Source organism: Homo sapiens, chromosome 3 (assembly GCF_000001405.40).
Source record: "Homo sapiens chromosome 3, GRCh38.p14 Primary Assembly".
Taxonomy (NCBI): Eukaryota; Metazoa; Chordata; class Mammalia; order Primates; family Hominidae; genus Homo; species Homo sapiens.
In genome coordinates, this window is record NC_000003.12 from 3790094 (window position 1) to 3817448 (window position 27355).

Sequence of the window (27355 nt, forward strand, 5' to 3'; positions counted from 1 at the left end):
CATATATGTATACACATATACGTATACATATATACATATATGTATACACATATACATATATACACATATGTATACACATATACATATATACACATATGTATACACATATACATATATACACATATGTATACACATATACATATATACACATATGTATACACATATACATATATACACATATGTATACACATATACATCTATGTATACACATATGTATACACATATACATCTATGTATACACATATGTATACACATATGTATACACATATATACACATATATACATACACGTATACACATATATACACATATATACATACACGTATACACATATATACACATATATACATATATGTATACGTATACGTATACATATATGTATACGTATACATATATACACATATGTATACGTATACATATATACACATATATACATATATACACATATATACGTATATACATATATACATATATACATACGTATATACATATACATATATACATATATACATACGTATATACATATACATATATACATATACATACATATACGTATATGTGTGTATATATACATACATATATGTATGTGTGTATATATATACACACATACATACATAGAGAGAGAGAGAGACAGCACAATTAAGATATTTGGATAGTCAATTCTGAACCAACTTATACAGCAGTGTGTACGTGTTCTCTTTTCTACACATCCTTGCCAAAATTTATCTTTCATCTTTTGATAATAACTACTGTAACAGGTGTGAAGTGATAGCTCATTGTGGTTTGGATTTGCATTTCTCTGATAATTTGTGATTTTGAGCATTTTTTAAAAATATACATATACCTGTTGGCCACTTGTACACATTATTTTGAGAAATGTCTATTCAGATATTTTGCTCATTTTGTAATCAGGTGATTTTCTTACTATTGAACTGTTTGAGTTATTTATATATTTTGGATATTAACCCATTATCAGATGTATGGTGTGCATGAGACATATATGTCCTTCCATTCTGTAGGCTCTTTATTCACTCTGTTGATTGTTTCCTTGACTGTGCAAAAGTTTTTTAGTTTGATGTAATCCTATTCATATACTTTTGCTTTTGTTATCCGTGATCTGGGGTTCATATATAGCAAAGTCACAGACTCTTAAGAGTATATCCCATGAACTTCAGGGAGGCCTGAGGATCCTAATTAAAGTTACACTAATATAAGAGAAAAATCAAGAAAACTAGATTTTAGCCTAGCTCTCCTATTAACCAGCAGTGGGACCTTGGATAAGGATTTAAATCCAGTCAGATTTCCCAGATGCTCTGAAGTACATGGAAGTGTTGGCCTTCTTGAGACTTCAGTTTGTTCATCTATAAAATGAAAAGGTTGAGCCAGATCATCTATAAGGCTCTTTATAGCTCCAAAACCCTCTGGTCCTTACTGAGTTGAATTACAATATGACCTTGCTTCTAGTAACTAGATAAGTCACCATTCATACATCACAAATGCATCTGCAGCCTTCTTTCTCCAAAGCTACAAAACTCAAAAACTCAGTCTCCTTTCCAAAAGATAGCTTGGATGTGATGCAAAGTTTGAGCAAAGGGATACAGACTCAAGAGTACAATGTGACCTGAATTCAAGAAAATATGGATTTCAACAGATGATTGGTCCAGTAGGCGAATACTTAGTTATCCATAAAAATGCAATAAGGGCAATGTTTTGCTCAAAAGTGACTGTTAACATACTCAGAGATAACAAGTATGAGAGTTCTCTACCATAAAAATAAAATGAAGTGCAGGCAAAATGGAGACAAACTTGACAGAAGAAGGTACTAAATGAAATGTAGAGGAAATTCTGTGGGCTTCAGTGTTTCCGCAAAATGTGTATAAGCCAATTGTGTCTACTCTATCTGCCAATCTTTCTTTTATAGCCTCATAGGCCCCTAGGACTAAAAGTAAGTGTGGATGTTAAATTTATGATAATAGGGGCATTGAATTCCAGTGCAATAGTCTCTAAGCGCTTTCTTATGGGGAACAATTCTGAACTCCCTTAAAGTTTTATGGTTACTGAAAGAAGAAAGATGTTACTGAAAGAATAAGAAGTACAAGCTGCCGGTGGGGCAGCTGACAGTCTTCCTCTCCCTGCTTGAAGTCTCTGGGAACTTCAAGAAGGCACTGTGTTGATGACAATTAGGTTAGCAATCAACCAAGAATAGTTTTAAACTGAACAGAGAACTGGAAAGCACCGCTCTAGTAGCTGTTCTATAGACATTTTGTTTGCTATAATGATGCCCTCCTACTGGCAGGATGTCCCTGAACTAGTCATTTTCTCTCTTACCTTACCAGACTTGTTATGAGGACTAAGTAAGATAATAGCCAACAGTAGGAGAGATGACTGTGTTTCTAATGTATGTTGCTATATTGCTAATACAGATTGCAATGTGTTGCACAATTTCTCTGTCTACTTTCTAGGCACATATCTAGCCTACATTCCTCTGCTTCCCTTGCTATTAGACATAGCTATGTAACTGGGTTCTCACCAATAATAGCATGAGCCATTTCTTAGGCTGGCCCATAGGATGTTCCCGTGTGATCCTTTATTATCTTTCTTTCTCTACACTCTGTGTGAATGAAAAAAATGTCTATAGCCATAGAGGAGGAAGAAGCAAAAAATGGAAGTCACCTGGGCCTGGAATGACTGGGTAGAGGCTACCTGGCCAGAAGCATACTCTGTTACTTGAGTATGAAATAAACTTGCCTTATTTAAGCCACTGATGGTCTTTGGTTTACTTGTTTTCAGTGACCATTATATTAACTAATACATTAATATTAGTGAGTGCTTGCTATATGGTAGGCACATACACACTTCTTTTTTTCCTGGTGATAGAATATACCAACATAAAATTTACCATCTTAACCATTTTAAGTGTACAGTTCAGTGTTACTAAGCACTTTCCTAACGTTATGCAACCATCACTACCAGCCGTCTCCATAACTCTTTTCATCTTATAAAACTGAAACTCTACACCTATTAAAAACTCCACATTCCCTGCTCTCTGCATGCCCTGGTAACCACTGTTCTACTTTCTGTATGATTTTGACAACTTTAAGTATCTCATATAAGTGCAATAATACAGTATTTGTCTTTTTGTAACTGACTTACTCCATTTAATACAACGTCCTCATTTCATATTCATGTTGTAGGGTATGTCAGAATTTATTTCCTTTTTAAAGTTGAATAATAGTCCATTGTATGTTGATACGGTGTGGCTGTGTTCCCACCCAAATCTCATCTTGAATTGTAGGTCCCATAATTCCCATACGTTCTGGGAGGGACCTGGTGGGAGATAATTGAATCATGGGGGCAGTTCCCCCATACTGTTCTCGTGGTAGTGAGTAAGTCTCACGAGATCTGATGGTTTTATAAGGGGAAGCCCCTTTCACTTGGCTCTCAATTCTCTCTTGTCTGCTGCCACGTAAGATGTGCCTTTCACTTTCCGCCATGATTATGAGGTCTCCCCAGCCACGTGGAACTGTGAGTCCATTAAACCTCTTTTCCTTTATAAATTACCCAGTCTCAGGTATGTCTTTATCGGCAGCATGAAAACAGACTAATACATATGTATATACCACATTTCGTTTATATAGTCATCCCTCAATAGATATTTGGGTTGCTTCCATGTTTTAGTTATTGTGAGTAATGCTGCTATGTATGTGGGTGGACAAATACTTCTTTGAGACCTTGCTTTCAGTTCTTTTGGGCACACAGTCAGAAGTAAAATTGCTGGGTCATATGGTAATTTTAGTTTTAATTTTCTGAGGGACTCCCATACTGTTTTCTACTGTGGCTGTATCATTTTATAGTCCCACCCACAGTGCACAAGTATTCTGTATTATTCTGTTCTCACACTACTGTAAAGAAATACCCGAGAATGAGAAATGTATAAAGAAAAGAGGTTGAATTGGCTCACGGTTCTGCAGGTTGTACAGGAAGCATGGCTGGGGAGGCCTCAAGAAACTTTCAATCATGGCAGAAGGTGAAGGGGAAGCAGGCACGTCTTACATGGCCAGAGAAGGAGGAAGAAAGAGACGCGGGAGGTGCTACACACTTTCATATAACCAGACCTCATGAGAACCCTATCACAAGAACAGCTCTAGGGAGATGGTGCTAAACCATTCATGAAGGATCCACTACCATGATCCAATCACCTCCCACCAGGCCCCACCTCCCACCAGGCCCCACCTCCAACATTAGGGATTACAATTCGACATGAGATTTGGGTGGGTACACCAATCCAAACCATATCAGGTTCCAATTTCTCCACATTCTCGCCAACACTGGTGTTTTTTGTTTTTTGTTTTTGTTTTTGTATAATAGCCATCCCAATGGGTATGAGGTAGTATTTCATTGTAGTTTTGATTTGCACTTCCCTGATTAGTGATGTTGAGCATCTTTTTTATTATTATTCTTTCAACTTTTATTTTAGACTCCGGGGGTATATGTACAGTTTTGTTACATAGGTATGCTGCATACGCACCTCTTTAAGTCTCACAGAACTCCACAATACAGGTACTATTACAGGCACAGAGAGCTTAAGTAAATTGTTCAAATTCACACAGTGTGTTGGGCTGGAATGTAAATCTAGGGACCCCAAATCATGAGCTCTGGCTCTGAATCGTTGCACTAGACTGTCTCTCTCAATACAAAAAAAAAAAAACCCTACTAAGTGTAATGTAATGACACAGAGTTAGTTCTTAGTTTATGTTAACTATTGTTATACAGACAAAAGAGAAATCAGAATGGAGAGCAAACAATTAAAAACAAAGAAAATTCTAAAATTCTATCAACCGAAATCTTTACATAAGCAAACAAATATTTTTATTTTTTAATAACGTTTGGCTGGCTAAAGGTAAACAGTAAGGAAACAGAAAAAGTTGAATATGTTAACCTGATAATCCAAAGTGTAGTTTATATCTATAGATCAATAACCAAAATAGCATTTTAAACAAGTTTGTTTATTATATGTGATAGCAAATAATTGAGAGAGTCCTTATTTCTCACCAACAAAAAGTTGGTAGAATTATGCAGCCATTGAGCATTATAGCTTCAAAGACTTTTTAATGATATGAAGAAAATACTCATGAAATAATGTGACCCGATTACATAAAGACATTCATTTATTGATTCATTTATTTTAAAAAAGTTTGAGTACCTATTACATGGTATAGGCCCTAGTCTATGAGCTGGTCACATCATCCCTCTCCAAAGAGTATATGGTCTAGCTTTCAGTGCAGGCTTTGTAAATAGACTGGCAGAGTTCCTCTTCTAGGGCTTAGTTTCTTTATCTACAAAATAAAGAAGTTGGATTTGATGACTGATACGGTTTGGCTGTGTCCCCACCCAAATCTCATCTTGAATTGTAGCTCCTATAATCCCCACATGTCGTGGGAGGGACCCAGTGGGAGGTAATTGCATCACGAGGGTGAGTTTTTCCTGTGCTGTTCTCATGATAGTGAATAAGTCTCAAGATCTGATGGTTTTCTAAGGGGCAGTTCTCCTGCACATGGTCTCTTGCCTGCTGCCATGTAAGATGTGCCTGTGTTCCTCCTTTGCCTTCTGCCATGATTGTGAGGCCTCCCTAGCCATGGGAACTATGAGTCCATTAAATCTCTTTTTCTTTATAAATTACCCAGTCTTGGGTATTTCTTCATAGCAGTATGAAAATGGACCAATACAATGACTGTCAACATCTCTGCAACAACTAAGTTCTACAAGTGGAAACAGGACCCTTTATTCAGTCAGGAATAAAACATTATTTGATATATCTGCAAAGCTGCAACTCAACTAAAATTGTAACAGCACCATAAACCTATTAATGTTAGTTCTATTTAGAACCGCCCACCATCTTGGTTTATCCAAGACTAAGGTGTGACCTGAGATGTTGAGATTTTTAGGACTAAAACCTGGAGATTCCCAGGCAAACTAAGATGGTTGGTCACTTTAGTTCTATGTCAAATTTTTAAGCTTAAATGCAAAAACTAGTTTTAATTACAGAAACGTCAATTAATCCCTTTTTTGTGTTGGGATGTTTCATATGCAGTAAACAAACAAACAAACAAACAAAACCCGAGAAGAACAGGAACTACGTATATGTAGTAAACCCACTCATTGTCAAAAATTCTTAGAGAAACAATACATTTGGTATGAAAGTTAACAATGATCACAATAGTCACAAAATTTTAAGCTACAGTCATCACCCTCTAAGAGCTTGGTGGTGGTTGTTTTAAAATCATAATTTCAGTTCAGAAATTGGAAAGAACTCTGACTACCGGTACTCTATTAATATTTCAATTAGAGAGAGACATATTTTCAACTTTGAAAAATTGCAGTTTTAAGAGGCATATGATAATTTTCTTTTCAAAATACAGATGTTCTTCTAAAGATTATTCAAATACGACTGTCTTCTGAAGTTTCATCTTTCTTTTTTTTCCTCATTTACCACATAGATCAGTACAATTAGGCTAACACCAATGATAATGTTCCTTCAAACCAAAGCTAAAGAACCTCAAGGGGCTGGTAGGGGAATCCAGAGGGGTTTGTAGTGTCTCAACACAGCCAATCGAGGGGCAAGAACTCTTTACATCAACAATAAGACCTTGCTCTCCTGGGAACTCTTGGGCTCTTGTCTCCAATTCCGTTCTCCTTCAAAAATTCCAAGGTCTTCTACCACACCTTAATAAATAACTATTAAGTGCTTTTTTACTAACTAATAAATTCAGGATCCCAGGACTGGGTGAGCTCATTAGGAGTAATTCAGATGGATTTGAGCTCTTTAAGCAAGAAGCAAGTAAGAGATTTGGTTATGCTGGTTCATTGATTCCTCTTCGTCCAATGATGCAAAAATGCGTGTTTCCTCTTCATCCATCCCAATGACAAGGAGCTTTTAAGTGTCAGTTAACAAGACAGTCCCGAAACCCCTTTGCAGAGTTAAAAAAGGGTAATTTCTAAAATTTGGACCAATTACCAATTCAGGCAATTCAGCAAATTTCTAATAATTACACCACATTTCAGACTCTTTCATAATTGTCATGCTCATTTTTCCTCTTCTGTCCACAGCAAGCCCCATCCTCTCACCCAAATTCCTTCCCCCATCCCTGACACACATTTCTTCCTAATGATAATGCTCTTCTCTCTGTCTGGAACCAAATGCATGCAGTGGTCAAGTAGAAATGGGAAAAGCTGCCTTTCTCACTCTTGCCTTGGGGAAGAGGGAAATTAGTTTAAATAAATGATATGCTAATTTGAAAAGAAATGAATCGAACAGTGGAGAGACAGAGTCCATTTCCTCCACTGGAGCAGCTAGTGCCTTTGAGATATTCTGTCACATGCGGAATCATTATCCCACCTGTCTGAATTGATGTCTTGTTTTAGTCTTCAATACCTGCCTAATAATGCCTAGAGCTTACATCTGTCGTTGAATGCTTACTATATACTAAGCACTGTCCTAAGCATTTTACATGTTTACTCCCACTTAACCATCACAATCCTTTGGGATAAGTACTGATATTAACCCTACTTTAGAGCCAAGGAAATTAAGCCTTAAAGAGATAAAGTGACTTGCCATTAGGGACACAGCTCATAAATTGCAGGGCTGGGACCTAAGCAGTGTTGGCCTGGTTTCAAAATTCACACCTTGGTCCCTGACTCACACCATTCTCATGAAGTCTCTTCCAAAACCTGGAGGCTGTTCTAGATCTGGCCTCCCAAGAGCAACTCTCACCATCATTAATTGCTCCGACTGCTCCTCCAAGACCTACCTCTGTAAAGCTCCTCCTTGAAGGGCACAACCTCATCTCTCTTCCACTCCCAGGAAGGCAGGCTGGAAACCTAATAGAGACTCCCTAAGAAACCTGCATTCTATCTTTCCCTGACCATTCAATTTCCGTACTTCCACCAGAGCCCAACTTCTATCAGACAAACTCCATGCTATCTGCATGCTAACTCCATGGATAATCTGCATGAAAAGGGGGGAAAGAGACAAAATCATGTTACAAAACTTGGGCAAGGGTCTAGACTCAACTTGCTTTGAAAGATCTTAAATCTTCCCATTCATTTGTAGACAGCAGTGGGCCTTTTTCTTCCTCTGCTCTGCACGACCTTCTAGCCCAAGTGCTAGTATCACCTTTTCCTAAAGACTTTTAAGACAAACTGTGACCATTTATGTCTACATGACACAGTTTCAGGATAACAAAGTGTGAAGACACACAAAGACGTCAAACATTTATCAGAGACCTAAGCGAAACGCCAATAAATGTTACAGGGATCAAGAATATGGTTACTGACATTGAATGTATCCTGTGGCTTTGAAGAATCCAAAGGATGATTCTCGAATAATGTATCCTTCCAAATTCTCCAGAAGTTCTAAGTTTAGACATCATAATGAAATGTCACCACGTTCCTCTGCCAGAAGTTGTTCAGTACTGAGGGGCTAATGATGCTTTCGCTTAAAGCCGATTCCCCCAATAAAGGGTGCCAAGGCTTTTCTGAAGCCCTGCTTCCGGCTGGCGACTTTGAAGCTGAGACGCAGGTTCACGCGCAGTTTCCGAAGACCTATTCCGTCCCCACCCTCCTCCCCTTCCTCGGAGACACCTCCACTTAACACTGCCTTCTCAGTCCCTCGCCGCCTGTTTAAACACAACTTCCACCCCTCACAAATCAGAAAGCTGTAATTTCAAAGTTTCAGAAACGTTTTCGGAAAGCCTCCTCCAATGGGAAGCGACTTCGCCGCTGAGTTAAGCGTCCGAATCCTCCTTCCCGCGGCAGGGACACCGGCCCGGGCCAGGTCTGCGGAGGACGCCCCCGGGCGCGCACACACAGCCCGAGGACGCGCCCTGTATTTTAAGACGCAGGGTCGGATTTCACCCCGAAACTTGGCTCCCACAGCCCCAGGCCGAACTGTGTCTGGTTCTCAGCCCCCGAGCCCGAGTTCTACGCCGCAAAGAGATGGGGCCCCATTGTGCCTAGCTGGCCTCCTAGCACGGACGTGTATTTTCTTTTGGTCTGTCTTTTGCTAAAAACCGGCAGTGCGCTTCGCCTCCCTGCCCAGCCGCAGCCTGCCGTCCCCTAGACAAAAAGCGGCGACCGCGGCCCGGCCACCCGAGCCCCGCCGCGCTGCGCCTTTGTTGGGCGGTCCACAGATGGTGCCCAGCACGGGGCCGCGCCGAGGGCGGGGGCGGGAGGCCGCGAAGAGGGTCGGGCGGGAGGGGAGGAGACGGCGGAGCAGCCAATCCGCGCGCGGCCCATCAGCTGACCGCCTTTGCTTACACCAGGTGCACGCCGGCTGCGGGGAGCACAAAGCGGGGCGCACCGCGGGCGCCGGCAACGAGCCGGTGAACGAGGCGAGGCCCGTGCGCCCGCGGCTGCAAGCGCCCGCCTGGCGGGGAGAGGGGCCGACGGCGTCAGCCCGGGCGGCGGCATCCCTAGGCGCCTGGGGCGCCTTCCTCCGGACCTGGCCGCTCGCTGCCCCGCCCTCTGCACCCCACTTCTCCGACCCTCCTTCCCAGTCCTGCCTCCCCCTGCCCTGGCCTCTGAGAGCCGACTGAGCCCAGCCCCGTGCAGCAGCGGTTGCCTGTGTCGCCGCCTAGTCTCCGGTCTTGGTGCTCTCCCGGGGGTGCCCCAAGGAGCCAGTGCGCGCTGCGGGCTGGGAAGGAGGCGCCGCTCAGCTAGTCCTCCTCCTCCTCCTCGTCTTTCTCCTCCTCCTGCTGCTGCTGCCGCCGCCGCCGCCGTGGGTGCCGGGTCCGCGCGCACCCCAACACCCCCACCAGCTGGGCCTCGGGGTAAGTCCCTGGCCGGCCGCGCCGCGGCAGGAGGTGTGGGAGGCAGCGAGGGGAAGTCGAGGCAAACTTGGTGGCGTGGGAGACCCTACGGGGTCTGGGGAACCTCAGGGTAAGATCGCGGGCCTGAGGGGGACGAGGGGGCGCGGCTCACGGAGCTGGGGAAAATGACGAAGTCGGGAAACGAGAATATAGTGCCCCGTTTCCCCCCGTCCCCCTTGCCAAAAAAAAAAAAAAAAAGGTGTGGGAGAGCGATAGTTGGGAAGGCAGGCCAGATAGAAACAGGCAAAAAAAGGCAGTGACCGGAGCCGAGCCTGCTGGATTTCAGGGGCCGACCAGGGGAGGGAGGTGCCCGGGGACGGGGAGGGAGGAGGGCTGCCGGGATGTGAACCGGGGAAGGCAGCTGGGGCTGGAGAGCAGCGCGGAAAGGGGGCCCAGGGAGCTGGAAAGAGGGCCAAGAGGAGGGCAAGGAAGGTGGCGGGCGACGGGGAGAGGAAAGAAAAAGGGTGTCTTGGCGGTGGCCTTGGTAAGAGAAAGGGGCAAGGGGTATAATTGACAAGGCACTGAAAGTATTGAAGTCAGAGCCTTGGGAAGGATCTACCGAACTCTCGGCGGTCCACGCGGGGACAGACCTCAGCCCGTGAGCCTTGAGCTCCACGCGGGGACAGACCTCAGCCCGTGAGCCTTGAGCTCCACGCGGGGACAGACCTCAGCCCGTGAGCCTTGAGCTCCACGCGGGGACAGACCTCAGCCCGTGAGCCTTGAGCTCCACGCGGGGACAGACCTCAGCCCGTGAGCCTTGAGCTCCACGCGGGGACAGACCTCAGCCCGTGAGCCTTGAGCCCAGAAGGAGTGGCAGCCTCAGGACGTTTGCCAGGTGGCCTGGAATGTGAGGGAAGCCTCAGCCCCGCCAGGAACAGAGCTGGCGCTGAGTTCCCGGCTCGGCCCGGGTCAGAAGCGAGGAAAGTTTGCCGGCGAGTGTCCTTTGTGCTGCGTGGAGAGGGGTGTGGGCGGCCGCCGACTCGGCGCTTCCCCGCCGCCCGCCCAGGGAGTCCCTGCCTGGCAAGCTGGGGCTCGGGGAAAAGTCCAGCAGCGAGAGGGCCGCGTGTCCCGGGACGGTTCCAGGGGAGCCCGCGCGGAAACGCGGACCAGGCGCTTCGGCCCGGATGCCGGATCCAGGAGAAGGGGACCTCGCTTGCCGTGTCCACCGCCGCGGCCCCAGCGCCAAGAACAGAGCCTGGCCGTGAGTGAACGACTGGCCGGGGTACAAATGGTTCTGAAGCACTTGAAGCTCACAGGCAAAGGCTAAGAGTCTAAATCCCATCCCGCCGTAAGTATTTTCATTCCCAAACCTAAATCGTAAAGGAAAAGTGGAATTCTAATTGGGTGAGGGAACAGGTGCTGCCGACTCTGGCTTTTGCGTGGAGGATTTTCTAAAAGACAACATGTTTTGTTTTGTCTTGCCATGACAATCTAAATCATGTTAGTGGAATAGGCTCATTATTTCATTTTTAAAAGCTAGGGCTGGAGGAGTGGAAAGTTCAGGAAGGCACTTTGATCAGTATAAATCTAGAGTAAAAGTGTTATTGGCTCCAGGGCCATATGTGTCCCGAAGTCTCTGATTTGCATGCAAATGTGAGCGGATCCTGGCAGATGTCTGGCCTCATCCATTCACATGAAGGAATTTGAAAAGACAAGGAGTCTTCAGTTAACAATAGACCTTAAGAAAAGAGAATAAAGACGCAGTGTGAGTTTTTCTGTTTGGGAATTCCATGGTTTGCTGACACCTTTATTCAGGAGCCAAATTCTTTAAGTGCTATTGTATTGAAAGCTCAAAGTGCTGCTTGCTCTTTACCTGGCTGTATATATTCGTGCAATATTCAAGCTGGATATTCTAAGCTAGTTAGGAAAAGGTTTGTGTGAAGCAGACAGTAACTTTAACCCACTTCTGGCGGCTTGAAGTGATTTCTGAATTGACCCCTCAACTTTTCGAGTTTTCTTTTAATAATTTGACTCTTGCTCAAATTTGGTCCTCATCTTCAGAGCTATTCATTATAGTAGAAGATCGTTGTCGTTGACCGACATGAAGATTTCCTGAGAATGTCCACTGTCTAGCTGAGAATGTCCACTGTCTAGCCAAAGTCATTTCGGTTCTTAAGGCACCAAACTGTAGAACTGCAGGTGATGCAACTGTCCCAACCCTAGTTACCCGAGTGGTTTTCAGGTCACATAACAGTGAACGGGGAGGTAGTCGTGCAGTAGACTCTGGAGCAAGGGCCTTTCTGCCGTGTCTAACATTAGCTGCGTGACCACACTGCACTGTTCACCTCTTGGCGTTGTGCGACAGCTGAACAAAAGGCAGGCAGTGTGGGCCGCACGTGAGGCAGGCGATTATATTAATACCTACGACTAACCAGCCCCAGTGGCCTCTTCTTTTGTCAACCTCAAACACTGTTGAAGGGAAAAAGAACCTATTCACGGAACAGCATTTGCCCCAGTATTCTATATATTCACTGAAAGGGACATTAAAATACAACACCCCCCCAACCCCCGCCAGAAAAAAAAGACAACATTGTTTTGGAGGGCTCAGTGTTTCGGGGGAGGGGTGGACAACAGATGTTAGTCTGCTATTTTACATGTTCCTTTAAGTTATTTTTGCAGGTTCAGTGCCTTTTATACATAAGGCAATATTTTCACAGGATGGGGAAAAATGAATTGAATCAAATTTAAGTAAGAAAATGTTATAGCCAAGTTTGCATTTTGTGTCTTAGAGCTATATAGAAGTCAGAAAGTAACAAATCATTCTAATAAACTCTTAATTTGACTCTACACGCCTGATGTCTTCCTGATAGAGTTGAAGGGTAACTTAAAATAAACTTGACATTTCTAGACTATAAACCATTTTGTTGTAAAGTTATCTAGATATTTTTGAAACCTGGTAAGTTAAAAATGACCCTCACATTTGTGAAACCTTATCTTTGGCAATTAACCTGCCTGTGTAATCGTTATTCTGCAAGTCTAATGAAAGGACAGATTAGAACTCATTCCTTGGTAAATAAAACTGATAAAGTGTTTAATTATTAGAAAAGGATCATTCTGCTAAATAAAAGATCTCAAGACCAGATCCAACTGCAGACTGTGTTTCTAAAACATAACCTCAGCTAGCTCTGGTTAATGTCTGAAATTCTGGGAAAGCAAGGAAAAACTCAACCATTGATCTCTCTCTGGTTAGTCTGTGCTAAGGCCACCTTCTTGATCTAAACTGCTAGAGCCATTACCACATATTCTAAAGCAGTGACACTCATGGGAATATACTAGGTACTAAAGAAAATCGGTCTCTACGGAGTTATATTGCTACTTCCCAAGCCAGTGGAATATAAATAATAATGATAAATAATCAGAATGGTGGGCTTTTTATACCACCATAAGTAGGCCATAAGTCATAAATAAAATATGGTAAATTATAGGATGCAGATGCCAGTTTTACGAGACTTGCACAATGCTTACTTAAAATTTATTTTTAAGTTACAAAATAATAGTTCCCCGAATGATTCATTTCAGCACTAATGTCAGGTTATTCAAATATTGTATTTAATTTTAAAAAATTATGCTGAACATCTGTTTTGGGTTAAGCCAATCTGGAGATAAAGCAAATTCCATTGTAGAATCATATGATCATTTAGAATCATATGTTTCTGGGAACAATGAAAGTATCTTTAACTCATGAATAGAGCTCTGATTAATATTTAATTCAGGATGAAATTATATGGATGAAGTCAGAAAAACATTTATTCTCTCTTGTTTTGGCTCAAAGTACAGAATAGAGATAAAAGTTAAACCCTATCTGTAAAATTCAATACTTTAGTGACCAAGGGATCCATTTGTTCTAAAGGTCTTTTTAGGTGAAGTTTGCTTTTTAATTTCTTGTTTTAGCATATATTAGCATTCACCTGCTTTACAGATCTGTTACAGAATGTAGCCTCCCGAGTTCTGAAACATAGATAAATGCATGATAAATGGTTTATTGACATTGCATTATAATCCATGATAAAATGATAAATGTTTCCAGACTTTATGGGCACCCTGTAGAACTGTTAAGCATATTATCCAATAATTAAAATACATACCATTTTATGTTACAGTTTTTTAAAAGAAACAATATGCAAGCTTTACTACTATTTATATTTTCTACTTTTTGAATGTTTTCAAAGCTCTAGGCAAATGTCGGGAGTTATTAACAATTTTATCAGTTGATTGGTTGGTTAGCAAGCTATTATCCAGTCGTAGCTGGATGATCTTGGATCAGTTGCTTAACCCCATACCAACCTTCAATTTTGTCATGTATAACATAATCGAGTTGGGAGAATAACGCTGGAAGGACTAACTGCCATAATCAGTGAGATTACTAAAAGGTTTATGTAAGCCATGCCTCCAGTACCACAATTAACATCAACATTTAACTTATATGGAACCATTGTACCTAATGAACTGAGGATCATTCCTGAGATGCGGAGAATCTAGGGGTGAACTTGGAATAATACATTCCCAAGGTCCTGTCCACTCTGACTTTAGAGTACCCTCTAAAGATGCTGCTGTATCAGCTTAAGACACTTAGTTTTAAAATCTATGGAGTGAAAACTGCTTTTAGAGTGGCTTATTGCCTTCCATTTATACTCTTTATTGCTCAGAGGTTAGAGTGTTATTTGAAAGCTCCGATTAATATAAATGAGTTGTAATTTTCCAACCCAGGCTGTCCTAGCTCACATCTATTATACCACTGGCAGACATGTGGACTCCACAGCTGTCCCCTCATTTGTGTATGAAACAGACACACTGGTGGCATTTTTTGGTTACCATAGTTACATTAACAATGTACATGTGACATCCTTCTATGTGAAAGGTTTCTGTGGCAGATATTTTGTAGAACTGGGAGTAAAGGAAAACTATTTAAAGTTTGGGGAACACATAAATTAGTCTGCCATTGTATTCCGGAGCCACCATTTCAATCCAGGGAAGAGAGCCATCCTACAGTGGTGTCCAGGAAAGGACAATCTTGGAAACAAAGATTTTCAAGGGAGGCATTTCCAGCAATGCCTAACCTCTTCAGGAGAGTGTCCATTTAATATTCATTTCAAAATATTTGCTCTTCCTATTTGTGACTGCCCTTTGTGAGATAATGTATTAGCATAGTCATTTTCAATTTGCAGGGGGACAGTGGGCAGCACCAATATTAGCACCTATCTCAGTAAGACCTAGGAAACAAAAAAGGAGTTTGCACTATTAAGCAGTGAGCCACAGAAAGAATCATCCTTTAGAAAAACTAAAAAAGCTTTAAAAGAGAGAAAGGTGGCTTAATTGGTTTCATGCCTATAATTTTCCCCTCTAGAAAGAAAAATGTTAGCATGGCAATAAAGAATATCATTAACCTGCATTGTTATTTCACAATAGTGATAAGTCTTAGTTTGCATCCATAATAATCAGTGTAATCAAGTACTGTACAGAGAATCAGGAAGGCGCAGGCTCAATTCCCAGCAATGACACTAATGACTCAATGTCTGACCTTCTGGATGTCCTGCAACCATCCCGGTGCTTCATGGCTCTATCAGAGTTGTGCGTTAAAGGATCCAGGAACACTGGTAGATGATTTCAATATCACCAGTGCGAATAATTTGATTTCTGCCCCAAGAGCTAGAATTATATGGAGAGCTAATGGTCTGGGTACAGCCCCTACCTTTCTGCAAGGTGATGTTTCTGGTCCCTAATCCCATAGCTAAGAGATTTTGTTGTTCTTTTTAAAATTTTCTCTCCCTAGCATTGACAGTTTCTCACCACCTCACCTGGGCCCGCTTGAGGGGAAAAATTTTACCAGGGGTACAGGAAGCCATTTACAATCATTAAACATTTGTTCACCTCACAAGTATATATTGAGCACCTGCTGTATGCCAGGCATTACAGAAGGCAGTAAAACTGAAATAAGTTAGCTTGATTTTTCTGCAGCTTGTACATTGGAGCATTTTGTTTCCATCAACCTATGCATTCTCCTACAAGTATTTATTGAGTGCTCTGTAGGAAAAAGGCACTCTGCACAGAGGATTTCAACCAAGGGTGATTTTTGCCTCTGAGGGGACATTAGGCAATATTTGGAGCCTTCTTTTTGTCATCGCTGTCACAAGTGAGGGTGGGATGAGGGTGTTATACCGGCATCTAATGGGATGCTGCTCAACATCCTAAAATGCATAGCACAGGAAGCCCCACGACGGAGAATTATCTGGTCCAAATGTCAGTAGTCGCAAGGATCCTGCCTCTGCCCTCAGTGAGCTTCAGTCTAGTCGGGGTTACAGAAAGGAGACTGACAAGTGCAGCATAGCGTGCTATGATGGTGGGAGTGCAGGCTACACAAGTACAGAAGCAGCAGCCTTAACTCAGATGTCAGCTGCCAGCAGAGGCTTTAAGAAACAGACTGGTTAATTCACAGAACAGGCTTTCACCTGCCACACAAGTGCTCAGCAGGAGACGATTTTCCATCTAGCCTCTTTGAACATAAGGGGGTTGGATGGTTGCTTGAGAGAGGGTAGACTCCTTAAGTTTGTCAAGAACTTTAAACTGAAGATGGAGTTAATTCCTTGTAGGAGTTGGTCAGAATTCAGTGTGTCTTGAGTAAACGGGAGAGGAGGCTGGAAACAGAGAGAAAGTCGATAGCAATAGACATAGGACAGCACAAGCTGCATGAAGAGAAGATGCAGCTGAGTTGACAAAGCTGTCACTGCCTCATATTTTAGAGCTTTAAACTTTGCCAAATCCTTAAATATTTATCTCATTTGACCTATAACATCCTGAGAAACCAAATGTGATTGTTCTTTCTCCTTTTCCCCAGTAACTGAGGGACAAGAGTCATGGAGAGGTTCATTGTGACTGTGGACAAGTCACTCGATGAAGTTTATCTGTAAAAGGAGAGGTCTTGTGAGGCTCCTCTTCCCAGCACAAGTTGAATTTGTCTAGGGTCACCCATCTAGGGGGAGACTGGAGGTGGGATAAGACCTGAGACTCCTGTCTCTCTCAGACCTAGTGTCTTCCACTCAGATGGTAGCAGCTTCCTAGACCGTGGAGTCCTAACAGGTAACAAGCTGACGGTGACTCAGCATGCTAGCTCTTGGGTTACCGAAGAAAGCAAGGACCTACGATGCATCGGTTAAAAAGTATCATGCAGAGAAACTTAAGCTGGGTTTCCCCTATACCTAAGGATTAACCACGCCCCCTACCTAATGGCTTATCTTAAGCTGACCTTAGCCACTTAAAAAAAGACTTGTGACAATCTGGGAAGAAAGGTTCATAGGAGAGTGCAGCTAGAGTTAGAAAACGAGATAGAAAATGGGACAACCCAGAACATGTGGGAAGAATGGACTGCCTAGAATAGATGTTATAGTGGTATCATTTTCTGTTTTCATTGATTTTTGTTTTTTCTTTGATAGGAGCGTTTTAACTTTCCTATCAGAGAATAATGACCAGTGTATACAGATATGCACACTTACATGCACACACATCACACATATAGAGCAGGGGAGACAGATTTCATACAAGTTTATGTTTCTTTCTTGTTTGTTTAGTAAGACTTGCACGTCAGAACGAGTTTTGGAGAGAACCTTCCCTCAAGGTCTTATTTCTGGTTTCTCTGGGATAATGAGTGTAAGGTTTCCTATGAGAAGTAAGACTGAGAAGCCACATGACTACTCAAGGTTCTTTTCATTCTCTGTGGTTTCCAGGATCAGGAGTGAGAGTTAGGTAGGACTTCAACCATATCCTGAGAGTTTCCAGGACACATGTGGAATCTACATGAACTCATCAGACCATCAGAGAACCATAAGGACAGTGGAGTAGCAATGACTGGCTTTCTCCAGGTTGTTATTCCAGCTGACTGTGGTTCTGTGCAGTGAGGACTACATGTAAGGCCTAACCCCCCAAAGGACCAGTTAGCTTTGCTGTGTTCCACAGGGACACAGCCAGCCTCCTCACGTACTCAGAAACTCATCCTTTCTCATGGGGAGGCCATGTGAAAAATGTAGGTCACTTCAAAGCCATCTGAAGGCAAAACACAAAATATGTGGGCAAAGGCTGGTGGGATATGTTTCTCTTCATGCATTCATTCACACTGTCAAATTGGAGTCCTGGTGAACAAGTTCCCAAATGGCTTCACTACCAGGATTGAGCACTGGAGCGGAGATTAGTTCTATGCAAATGAGATGCTTTAGTGATCGAGAGGAAAATATTACATAGAGCTCCCAAATTCTATCCCCAGAGCCCACCATTTTTCCTAACGTAGCATACAGTAGTAGCAGTAGAATAATGATACTCTACACTGTGCCTTTCCAATGTGTTGGGACCCATCACCAACACCTTATGTGCATTAACTCCTTTAATCCTTGCAACAACTCTGTAATGTAGACACCCACTTTATAGCTCAGGAAACTAAGGCAGACCGCAACTAAGTACCTTGCCCAAGGTCAAACAACTAGTGTGTATGTAATAAATATTTGTCAAGTGAATGAATGAATGAATGAATGGGTACACATCTGTTTTAGAGGAGAGAGTCCTTTATTTGAATTCTCAGTTTATGGCATTCCTGCTTTCCAGGCAGAGCATTTTCAAGAACTGCCTCTGTGACTTGTGAATGATAGGGGAAGAGCTGGTCGGTGGAGAAGCAGGGGTTGAACTTGGGTCTGTCTGACTCTAAACCTGTACTGTTAAAGTGCTTGGCTATATTTCTTCCTCTTTAATTGCAGCTATAAAACAAGAGGACTGGACTACGTTAGCTCTCTTAGCCCATTCCACTCAAAAAGTTACATAATTCCATATTAAAGTCTATGTAAAATAAATCACTTTTTTTTTATTTTACTACTTTTAATTTTGAAATCTAGTTTGGTATTTTTATTTAACCAATCATTGAATTATCTTTTAAAATTATATTAGAATTATTAACAGAACATATTTATAAACCCTCTTTAAATCATTTTAAATGGATGAGAATGCATAGTTACAGATTGCATTCTCCTAACCCTTACCATCTCACTGCCTATTAAGTTATATCATCATTGTCTAAATTTAGGTGTCTAAAAATTGAAAAGCATCTTTTGTTACACAGGGAAAAGACAGGTAAAGTGATTAATTTTGAAAAAATTACTGCCGATATTTGCAGAAATAAGTAGGTTGCTGAATCTAATGAATAGTATTGAATGATTTTTTTTTCTTTAAGATGGAGCCTTGTTTCTGTCGCCCAGGCTGGAGTGCAGGGGCGTGATCTTGGCTCACTGCAGCCTCTGCCTCCGGGGTTCAAGCAAGTCTTGTGCCTCAGCCTCCTGTGTAGCTGGGATCACAGGTGCCTGCCACCATGCCCAGCTAATTTTTGTATTTTTAGTAGAGACAGGGTTTCACCATGTTAACCAGGCTGGTCTCGGACTCCTGACCTCAAGATATCCACCTGCCTCGGTCTCCCAAAGTGCTGGGATTACAGGCGTGAGCCACTGCCCCCGGCCATGAAAAGTATTGAATGATTTTTATGAGCTTCAAACTGCTAGCAATATTAAAAGCTACTACTTGAGATTCGCTTCTAAGGATTGTTTTGCTTTAAGGTATCCTCCTGACATGCAAGTGAAGCATCAGAGCAATGTGTCAGTCATTGCCGTAGTGTTACAGGACATGCAGCCCAAGGCAGGGGAAGGAGTGGGTAACAAGGCATGTCCTAGATTTGGGAAGAGTTAGTTTCAGAACTGCTTCTCAGCTCTGTGATCTAGAGTGATTTCATGGAACCTCAGTATCTACATCTGCAAAATGGGGATGATAATAGAGCCCGCCTCTTAGAATCACTAGAATCATTCAGTGAGAACATGCATATAAAGTCCTTAGCACAGTTCCTCTTCCAAGGTACATACTTAGTATACAGTAGCAATGAGTAGAAGTGGTATTTGTGTTCAAATCTGACATTTCTGCCTGCTACAAAGTCTGCATTCTGAGGATGCTAATTCTGAGGCAAGTGGAGAGATTTTAAGGGACAAGAAGACTCAGACTAGATATTTTATGAAGTCCGTAGTTGACATGGTTGTCACCTTTCGTGGTGGACCCCTAGAGTGCTTTATGTTTGTCTAGACATGAGAAATATGGATTCCACTGATGTGCTTTGAAAGAATTGGCAAACAGGTGAATACATTAGAGCCTTTTTTGTTTGTTTCCAGATTCTCTTCTGTATCCCACTCTCTCTTTTCTCTCTGAAAATATTATAATGCCCCTAAATGGTGATTCATGGAATCACATTTTCTAAATAAAGAGAATAGGTTAGGTTCAGAGATATCATTCCACCAAGAGGAGCTGAATTTAAGACATTGTAGCAAACAAACCCAAAAGCTTCACCTCTCTGCCTCCACTGTGATATGAAGGTTGGCCATGTAAAACTCTTAGAACAATGCTGAGCGTGTTGTAAATGGTCCATAGACAATGCAGCTACCATTGTTACTGTTAATTCTTAGTATCATCGTCATCATACAATATCATCATCTTGTATCTTGACCAAACCACAAGGCTTCTGGTTAGGACCAGATTAGAACAGTGCAGTTTAACCACAAATCTTTCTGGAAGCAAGAGAAAGTCACCAGGTATGCTGGGCATGGTGGTGCACACCTGTAGTCCCAGTTACTTGGGAGGCTGAGGTGGGAGGATCACCTGAACCCAGGAGATTCAGGCTGCAGTGATTCCTGATCACACCACTGTACTCTAGCCTGAGTGACAAAGCAAGATGTTGTCTCTTTAAGAAAAGGAAAGAAAGAAAAGAAAAAGAGACAGTCACCAGGCAAGCCAAATCAGGTGTGATCCTTAGGGAGATGAACCCACAGAGGCCAGTTGCTATGAGTTGGCCTCCCTGGCACCTCCCGTGTTTTAGCTAGCTGATTTTCACTTGCACATGAAGGGAAGAGTTGAGAATACCATTAACTTGATTTTCTTTGAATTCTTTGTGAAATGGAAATAGTAATTATTTGTGGAGAACTTCATTGTCTTGTTTAATCCTCGTCATCAGTGCTTCCCAATTGCTGTGACCACATTTACAGGTTAATTGTAGATATCCATACTCTTAGCTCTGGGGGAAAGCCAGTACCACACAGCTGGTCACCTGGCTACCCTTGCAGGCCAATAAATAGAGTTTTCTAAGTGTGCTGAGAGGAACACATACCAACTCTGGGAGTTATGTATTATCCCCATTTTAAAGATGTGGAAAAAAAACCCTAGACAAGGATCTTGCCCAGTATCGTACAGCTAGTAAGAAGTATGCATAGGAACAATACTCTTAACTCTGGTTTTCCTCCAGACTGAGTTAGTCACATTGTCCTTGATCTTCCCACATCTCCTTGTCCTCACTCAAGTCTAGCATGTGTTATCTTTATTTACATCCTGTAGTACCACCACCACCAAGCAGCTTCGTAAGGGAAAAGGCTATGACTGAGTCTTAGGTCCCTGGCACCTATAAAAGCATTTGGCACATGGAAAATGTACTTAGCAAATATTCAGTCGTTGAAAGAGGAAAGGGGCTTCCGTATCATATGTCTATTTCATTTTGCCATATTGCTGCTTTAAAATAATTTGTACAAAGTTATTTCATCTGTATTTTGGTAGAAAATGAGTAGTTCATAAACCTGTATTATACTCAGAGATATTACTATGTTACTGCTTTAGAGAGCTTATTATAGAAAGTTGAACTCATTTGGGAATGCTTTTTGTGATATTATTGCCAAGGAAGTGTTATTAATCAAAAAGTATTCATTAAATGCATGTCGAATATCAAGTGCTATTAGAAAGGTGATATGAGGGTTGAAGAAAATGTACATGGTGTTATTTCTGTCCAGATGAGCTTCCAGACTCATTGGGGAGGTAGAGTGAATAGAATCAAATCAAAATAATTAAGTGATCATCTGTAGGAATTCTGCAACAAAGCAGAAAAACAGGGGCTCAGACCAGACGGGTTTGAATCTCAACTTTGTCACGTAATAGCTGTGCTCAGTATTGGTTAAAAGACTCAATTTATTGACCGCAAACTCATCTGTAGAATGGAGGAATAATGTCTACCCTTAGGGCTGCTATGAGAATGTATGGGAAAGCACTTGGTACAATTCTTAGAACATGACAGTCATTCACTGCAATCATTTGGCAGATATCTACAGCCCCACTTGTGTGCAGATCTTTTTCTGGGAGTACAGTGGTGAGCAAAACAGATGATGTGTGTTCCTTTCCCATGTGGAGCTTGCTGTCTGATGTGAGATAAAAGCAATAATCCAATTATCACACAAGTAAATGTAAAATGATGGCTGTGTTAAGTCCAGTGAAGAAGAAGTACACGAGGCCAGGAGAATGTAACATAAAGCCTTCTAAGAGAAGACCTTCCTAAAGAACTGACACTTATTTAAGCCAAAATCTGAAGGTCATGGGAGAGTTAGCCAGGCAAAGCGTATGGAGAGGGAAGATCTTTGTAAGCCAAAGCCCAGAGGTGAGAAGGACTTTGGTATGCTTGATCAACAGGGAGAAGACCAGTGTGGCTTAGAATAGAATAAAAGGGTACTTTCTTTTCTGCCTACTTCCAAAGTGCACTTGGAGTTCAGAGAAGGCAGAACTTGTACAAAGTTCAGCGAAGGAAGAGACTGCATCCTATACCGAAGAGATATGTCACCATGACAGAAGGCTTGAATTGGTGGAGAGGGAAATTGTGTGAGTAATTCTATTGAGTCTTGGCTGGTTAGGTGGCATGTCATTGTCTTACATGTGTGGACTGGCATATGCCAAGTCGGGCACACCAGGAAGAAAGTTTCTCCTCCATTTCTGTGTGGCTTTGAGCATGCTGATTAACTTCTCTGAATCTTGGTTGTAAAAAAAAAAAAAAAAAAAAAGATGTAGCACCACAAGTTTGTGAAGTTTGTGGGAATGGGAAGATATAATGCATGTGAACGTGGCACATAGTGTCTAGTAAGTTAGCTTAGCTTATTTTATTTTCTGCTCCTCATAACCTTTTTCTCCCTGTACTACACTTTCCTTTCATTGTAGTGAACCTCTCATTATGATACTTGCTAACTGAGATCACATCACCTGTGTTGCTCACAGATACAGATTTTTTATAGTAGTTTGGTGATAGCCGAAACATTTCTCTTGCTTGGCATGCAAATGCTATCATTCTCGTTCATGAACTCATTGTGTAAAATGCACTTAGCCACATCTGGCTGCTGTTCGCATGAACAGAGGTGACTGCTGGTGAGTGGACAAGATCCTTCACAAGCTTTAGATGGTAATTTCGTCGGTGCTCTAATGACCATAACACTTAGTTGTTATTGATTTGTCCTCAGTGGAGAGATGTACTTTTCTGCCTGATCTTAATTATGGTTCATAATATTAGATCATTTCAACACTGAGTTAGCATTTTGCCCTTGTAACAATTTGTTTTAGTTCCATCTTTGTATTGACTTATAAGTAAATTTAGACACTATTACCAAATACTTATCAGAAAAAGATAGTGGGGGTAGAGTGGGTTATTTTTCAGCAAGATGCTGAGTTATCCTTTATTACATGCTTTATGGCAGTAAATCTTGGACTCCCTTGCACCCTTTTATTACTAACCTGCTTTTCTGTGTCCCTTGAGATCTTAAGTCTTCTACTTACTAGATTATGAGAAAAACTCCCAAATTTCCCTCCAACCATAACCTCACTTCCAAACTCCAGTCCTATATTTCCAAATGCCTGCTGGATATTTTCACCCTGAAAATCCCAACATCACCGAAGGAGCAAGAGGAAGAGGTGGTTTCCAGGATGCAGAGTGAACTGTGGCTGTACAAGAGGAGAGAGAACGTCCTTTTGCAGAGGAACGAAGCCCCTGCCTATTGACCCAGCAGGGAGGGAACCAGGAGGAGAAGTACTCCAGCCTCTCTTTTCCCACCCTCTTCTAATCATTCAAATGGAAACTCACCCCACTCCCAAAATGAGCTCCTGCCATTGCTGGCCCTTATCTTGTTTTGAGAACTGCTATCATCCCATCACTCAGGCTCAACCTTGAAATTATTTGTAACACCTCCCTCCCCTGTCTGCACATCTAGTCAACTGCAGTATCCAATAGATGCCTCTCTAGTTATATTTCCCTAGTGTCTTTTAAATATGGCACTTCTTCTTTGTTCCTGTCAACACCACCCGAATTCTAGCCCTCATCGCCTCTCCTTTAGCTTATTGGAAGTGCTTCTTAACCAGTTTCTCCCTATCTAGTGTGCCTCCTCTCCATTCTGACATAGAGCTGGTGGATTCATCTTTCGGAATTATAGAACTGATCCCATAGTTCCCCTGTAAAGAGGCATTAAATGGTCCCCCTGGCTATAGTAATGTGCTGGATATTCTTGATGTCCCTCCAGTTCCACCCAGTACCCCTTTCCACTTTGCTGTGTGCCCCAGGAATCAGATGTATATGGGCTGTACCCATAAATGGGTCCCTTGCCATCTGGCTTCTTGTTGGGTTCTGCATCCTGCGGTAGCTCACTCAGGGTTGTTTGCCCATCCTTTGTGAGTTGACTTTAACCTCGCCCATCCCTTATGCTATTGTTTGAATGTATGCATCCCTCTAAAATTTGTATATTGGAACTTAAACCCCAAGGTGATGGTATTAAGAAGTGGGGCCTTTTGGGAAGTGATGAAGTAATCAGGGCTCTGCCCTCATGAATGGACTAATGCTCTTATAAAAGAGATTGAAGGGAGTTCCTTAGTCTCCTTTTGTCCTTCCATCTCCTCTGCCATGTGAGGATGTGAGGACACAGCCTCAGTTTTGTCTTTGCCCCCTTCTGCCATGTGAAGACACAGAAAGAAGGCACCATCTTCAAAGCAGAAAGCAGTCCTCACCAGACACCACATCTCCTGGTATATTGATTTTGGACTTCCCAGCCTCCAGAACTGTGAGAAAATAAATTTATATTCTTTATAAATTACCCAGTCTCAGGTATTTTAATATAGTGACAGGAATGGAGTAAGAATCTTAAAAATGGTCCCTTTTTAAAACTTTTCTGTATTCATTCCCTTTTTAATGTACCATCTGTTTTCTTCTAAGTCTCTGACAAGGATGAGAAATCAGAGAAAACTCCTTAGTGAAGCATAAAGGCCCTCCATATCTAGGAACCATCCTACCTTCCTGTCTTGATTTCCATAGCTACTGTGGCATAACCAAAATCCCATTCAAAATGAAAGCATTCCTATTCTGTCCCCTATTCCAAGTCTGCTGCCCTGACGCCTTTACACCAGTGTAAATGTTTAACAACTGGCTCTCCAAAAAGGTAAGCCCTCCTTTTTGTGACCAATTTTAAGCTACCAGTGTGATGTCTCTGAACTCAGATTTGGAAAGAAATGCTCACAACTGACTCAGAATACCACTGCTTTGTGTACAGCTCCCCACCTCCCCTGCCACTGCCCTCAGTGCCTTACACAGAAGAGTTGCTCAATAAACTATTCTAATTCATTTCTATCATTCCTGTGGGCATTTGGAATGGTACAGAAACCTACTTACTAGCCACATGTTGATGGTAATATTTGTGTACCCAGAATTTTTTGGTGAGTGCCAACATAGGTACTAGCTGGATTTTTGAGACTTGAAAACGCTGAAGTGAAAATAAACTAACTACTTGCTCACATTTTGTGCTAAGTTGCTGAAGCATAGCATACTACTTAATGTTGCTTAATTCTCCAATAAAATAATTCTCATTTTCTGATCTTGTTTTCAAACCATGTCTTCATTATCCTCAATTAAATGTAATTTGAAGTAATAATAAACCACCATTAAAATGTATTTCCTCACTATTATAACCATTTGAATATTCTATAGTTTATGTCCCCTTAAATCAAAAACTCTACAGAAATTTTTAAGGTACATGTTCATCCTAGACATATATGATTGCACTGCAATTTACTCTAAAATTTATTTTATTAAGAAATAACCCTTTCTTAGTCTAAGAGATAACTTTAATTTTGCTTCATATAAAAAATTTCTATATTGAAAGTTCAAAATGCAACTACAATTTCTATTAGAAAAATAGGAGGTAAGCCAATAAAGATGATCTTATCATAGCATTGGATTCTTTTGTATTTTAATGGTTATGAAGGACAATATGGATATTCAACTAAAATTATTCTTTTTACTTTTAATAATGAACATATTAGTTGAAGAGCTATTATAGAATGCACTATGATTTATAATGCATTTTAATGTTCTCAGCTGTTCCTTTGCACCATATGATTACACAAGCCTAGACTGTGTAATTAAGGACCATCCACTAATGTGCACTGGTGGATTTATGGTTTCCAGGTCATCGATGATCTGAGCACTTTGAGTATTGGACCATTAGTTTCAAATGCATACTAAGATAGGGGAACACATTGGCATCAAGGAAAATCTACAATAAGAAACTCTTTCAAATTCAGGGATGTAACTTTCACCTGATTTTAATTTACCAAAACAATTAAAAAACCTGATTAACAGAAATCCTAATTAACTAGATCCCCTCCACCCTCAGTCCACTTTTAGAAGAAAAGGGAAGATTGGAAGAAAATAATTTAACCAGGGCTTTCAATTAAGAAAAAAAAATATTCCAATATGAGTTCATTATTAGGGCCTTGAAGAAAACTATGTCTTAGTAAAAAATATATAACCACCCTTATTAAAGGCAAAAATATAGGTATTACAATTTGAAACTATAAAAGCTTTCTAGGAAACCTTCAGTCAAACAGAAAATTAAATTTGCACATTCCCTGAGCCTAATGCTCTAGTTAACCAAGGTTTCGCTCTACAAGTTAGCTTTCTTCTACGTGTCTAAAAGAAGGCTGCAATGTACTCTTGGGGTCCAATAAGACAATTAAGGCAGGTGGTATCACAGAAAGGCCCTGTGCAACGAACTTGACTTTAACTTCAGCTGGTTCACTTATAGCTGCGGGAATTGTGACATTACTTGAATTAGTCATGATTTGCCAGAGAAAGAGAATGAATAGGATGGGTGATTGATTGATTGATTGATAAGATAGATAAGATACGATAGAGAGATTTATTACAGGAATTAGCCTACGTGATTATGGAGGCCGAGAAGCCCCACCACCTGCCATCTATAAGCTGGAAAACTGATGTTCTGTCCCAGTGTTGTAAGAATGTAAGTAAAGCACCTTTCACAGTTTCTGTTTTGTATTCTGCTCCCCATCCCTGTCTTTGGCCACTTCCTTAAAGACTCACTGTGGCCCCCAAGCTTTCAGAGGAAAGGTTTCAACAAGCAGGCACACCTCTACTTCATTTTCTTGCGGCGATTAAAAATGTCTAGTTCTTTAAGTCCTTATTAGAAATAGTCATAAAAAATAGTTTAGAAAAGGAATTTGAAATCAAGTTTATTTTAAGAGTTCAGGGGCAGATGGCGTTACTTTGCTTCTTTAAAAAAAGATGGCATTCAATGTGGTTGAGTTCTATCAAGTCAAAGGACAAGTACTGTCTCATTCACCCAAACA

General features: G+C 41.5%; 1 protein-coding gene and 1 long non-coding RNA gene across 5 annotated transcripts in view, besides 4 other annotated features; one reads left to right on the forward strand and one right to left on the reverse strand.

Moving 5' to 3' along the window:
• The window catches only part of LOC100130207 (uncharacterized), a 100062-nt gene extending 89280 nt beyond the window's left edge, over positions 1–10782 (reverse strand). Inside the window, exon 1 of the long non-coding RNA NR_149025.1 lies at positions 10608–10782. This is a non-coding gene — a long non-coding RNA (uncharacterized LOC100130207). The remainder of the gene's footprint in view (positions 1–10607) is intronic.
• Positions 9239–9308: a silencer, noted in NCBI's record as "silent region_14011". NCBI's record gives its function as "represses an Ori minimal core promoter by ATAC-STARR-seq in GM12878 lymphoblastoid cells {active_cell/tissue: GM12878}" and the evidence as "EXISTENCE:reporter gene assay evidence [ECO:0000049][PMID:35858748]".
• Positions 9319–9408: a silencer, noted in NCBI's record as "silent region_14012". NCBI's record gives its function as "represses an Ori minimal core promoter by ATAC-STARR-seq in GM12878 lymphoblastoid cells {active_cell/tissue: GM12878}" and the evidence as "EXISTENCE:reporter gene assay evidence [ECO:0000049][PMID:35858748]".
• LRRN1 (leucine rich repeat neuronal 1) overlaps positions 9338–27355 on the forward strand; it is a 50404-nt gene continuing 32386 nt past the window's right edge. The window contains exons 1-2 of one of the 4 annotated variants that reach the window (NM_001324188.2): positions 9338–9826; positions 10872–11153. The gene's annotated coding sequence lies outside the window, so the exon portion shown is untranslated. Of the gene's footprint in view, positions 9827–10871; positions 11154–22375; positions 22562–27355 lie in introns of those variants that run through there. The other 3 variants (NM_001324189.2, NM_020873.7, XM_047448644.1) reach the window with 3 other exon arrangements.
• Positions 9549–9658: a silencer, noted in NCBI's record as "silent region_14013". NCBI's record gives its function as "represses an Ori minimal core promoter by ATAC-STARR-seq in GM12878 lymphoblastoid cells {active_cell/tissue: GM12878}" and the evidence as "EXISTENCE:reporter gene assay evidence [ECO:0000049][PMID:35858748]".
• Positions 12192–12486: a silencer, noted in NCBI's record as "tiled region #107; HepG2 Repressive non-DNase unmatched - State 21:Repr". NCBI's record gives its function as "represses a minimal TATA promoter and a strong SV40 promoter by Sharpr-MPRA in HepG2 cells {active_cell/tissue: HepG2}" and the evidence as "EXISTENCE:reporter gene assay evidence [ECO:0000049][PMID:27701403]".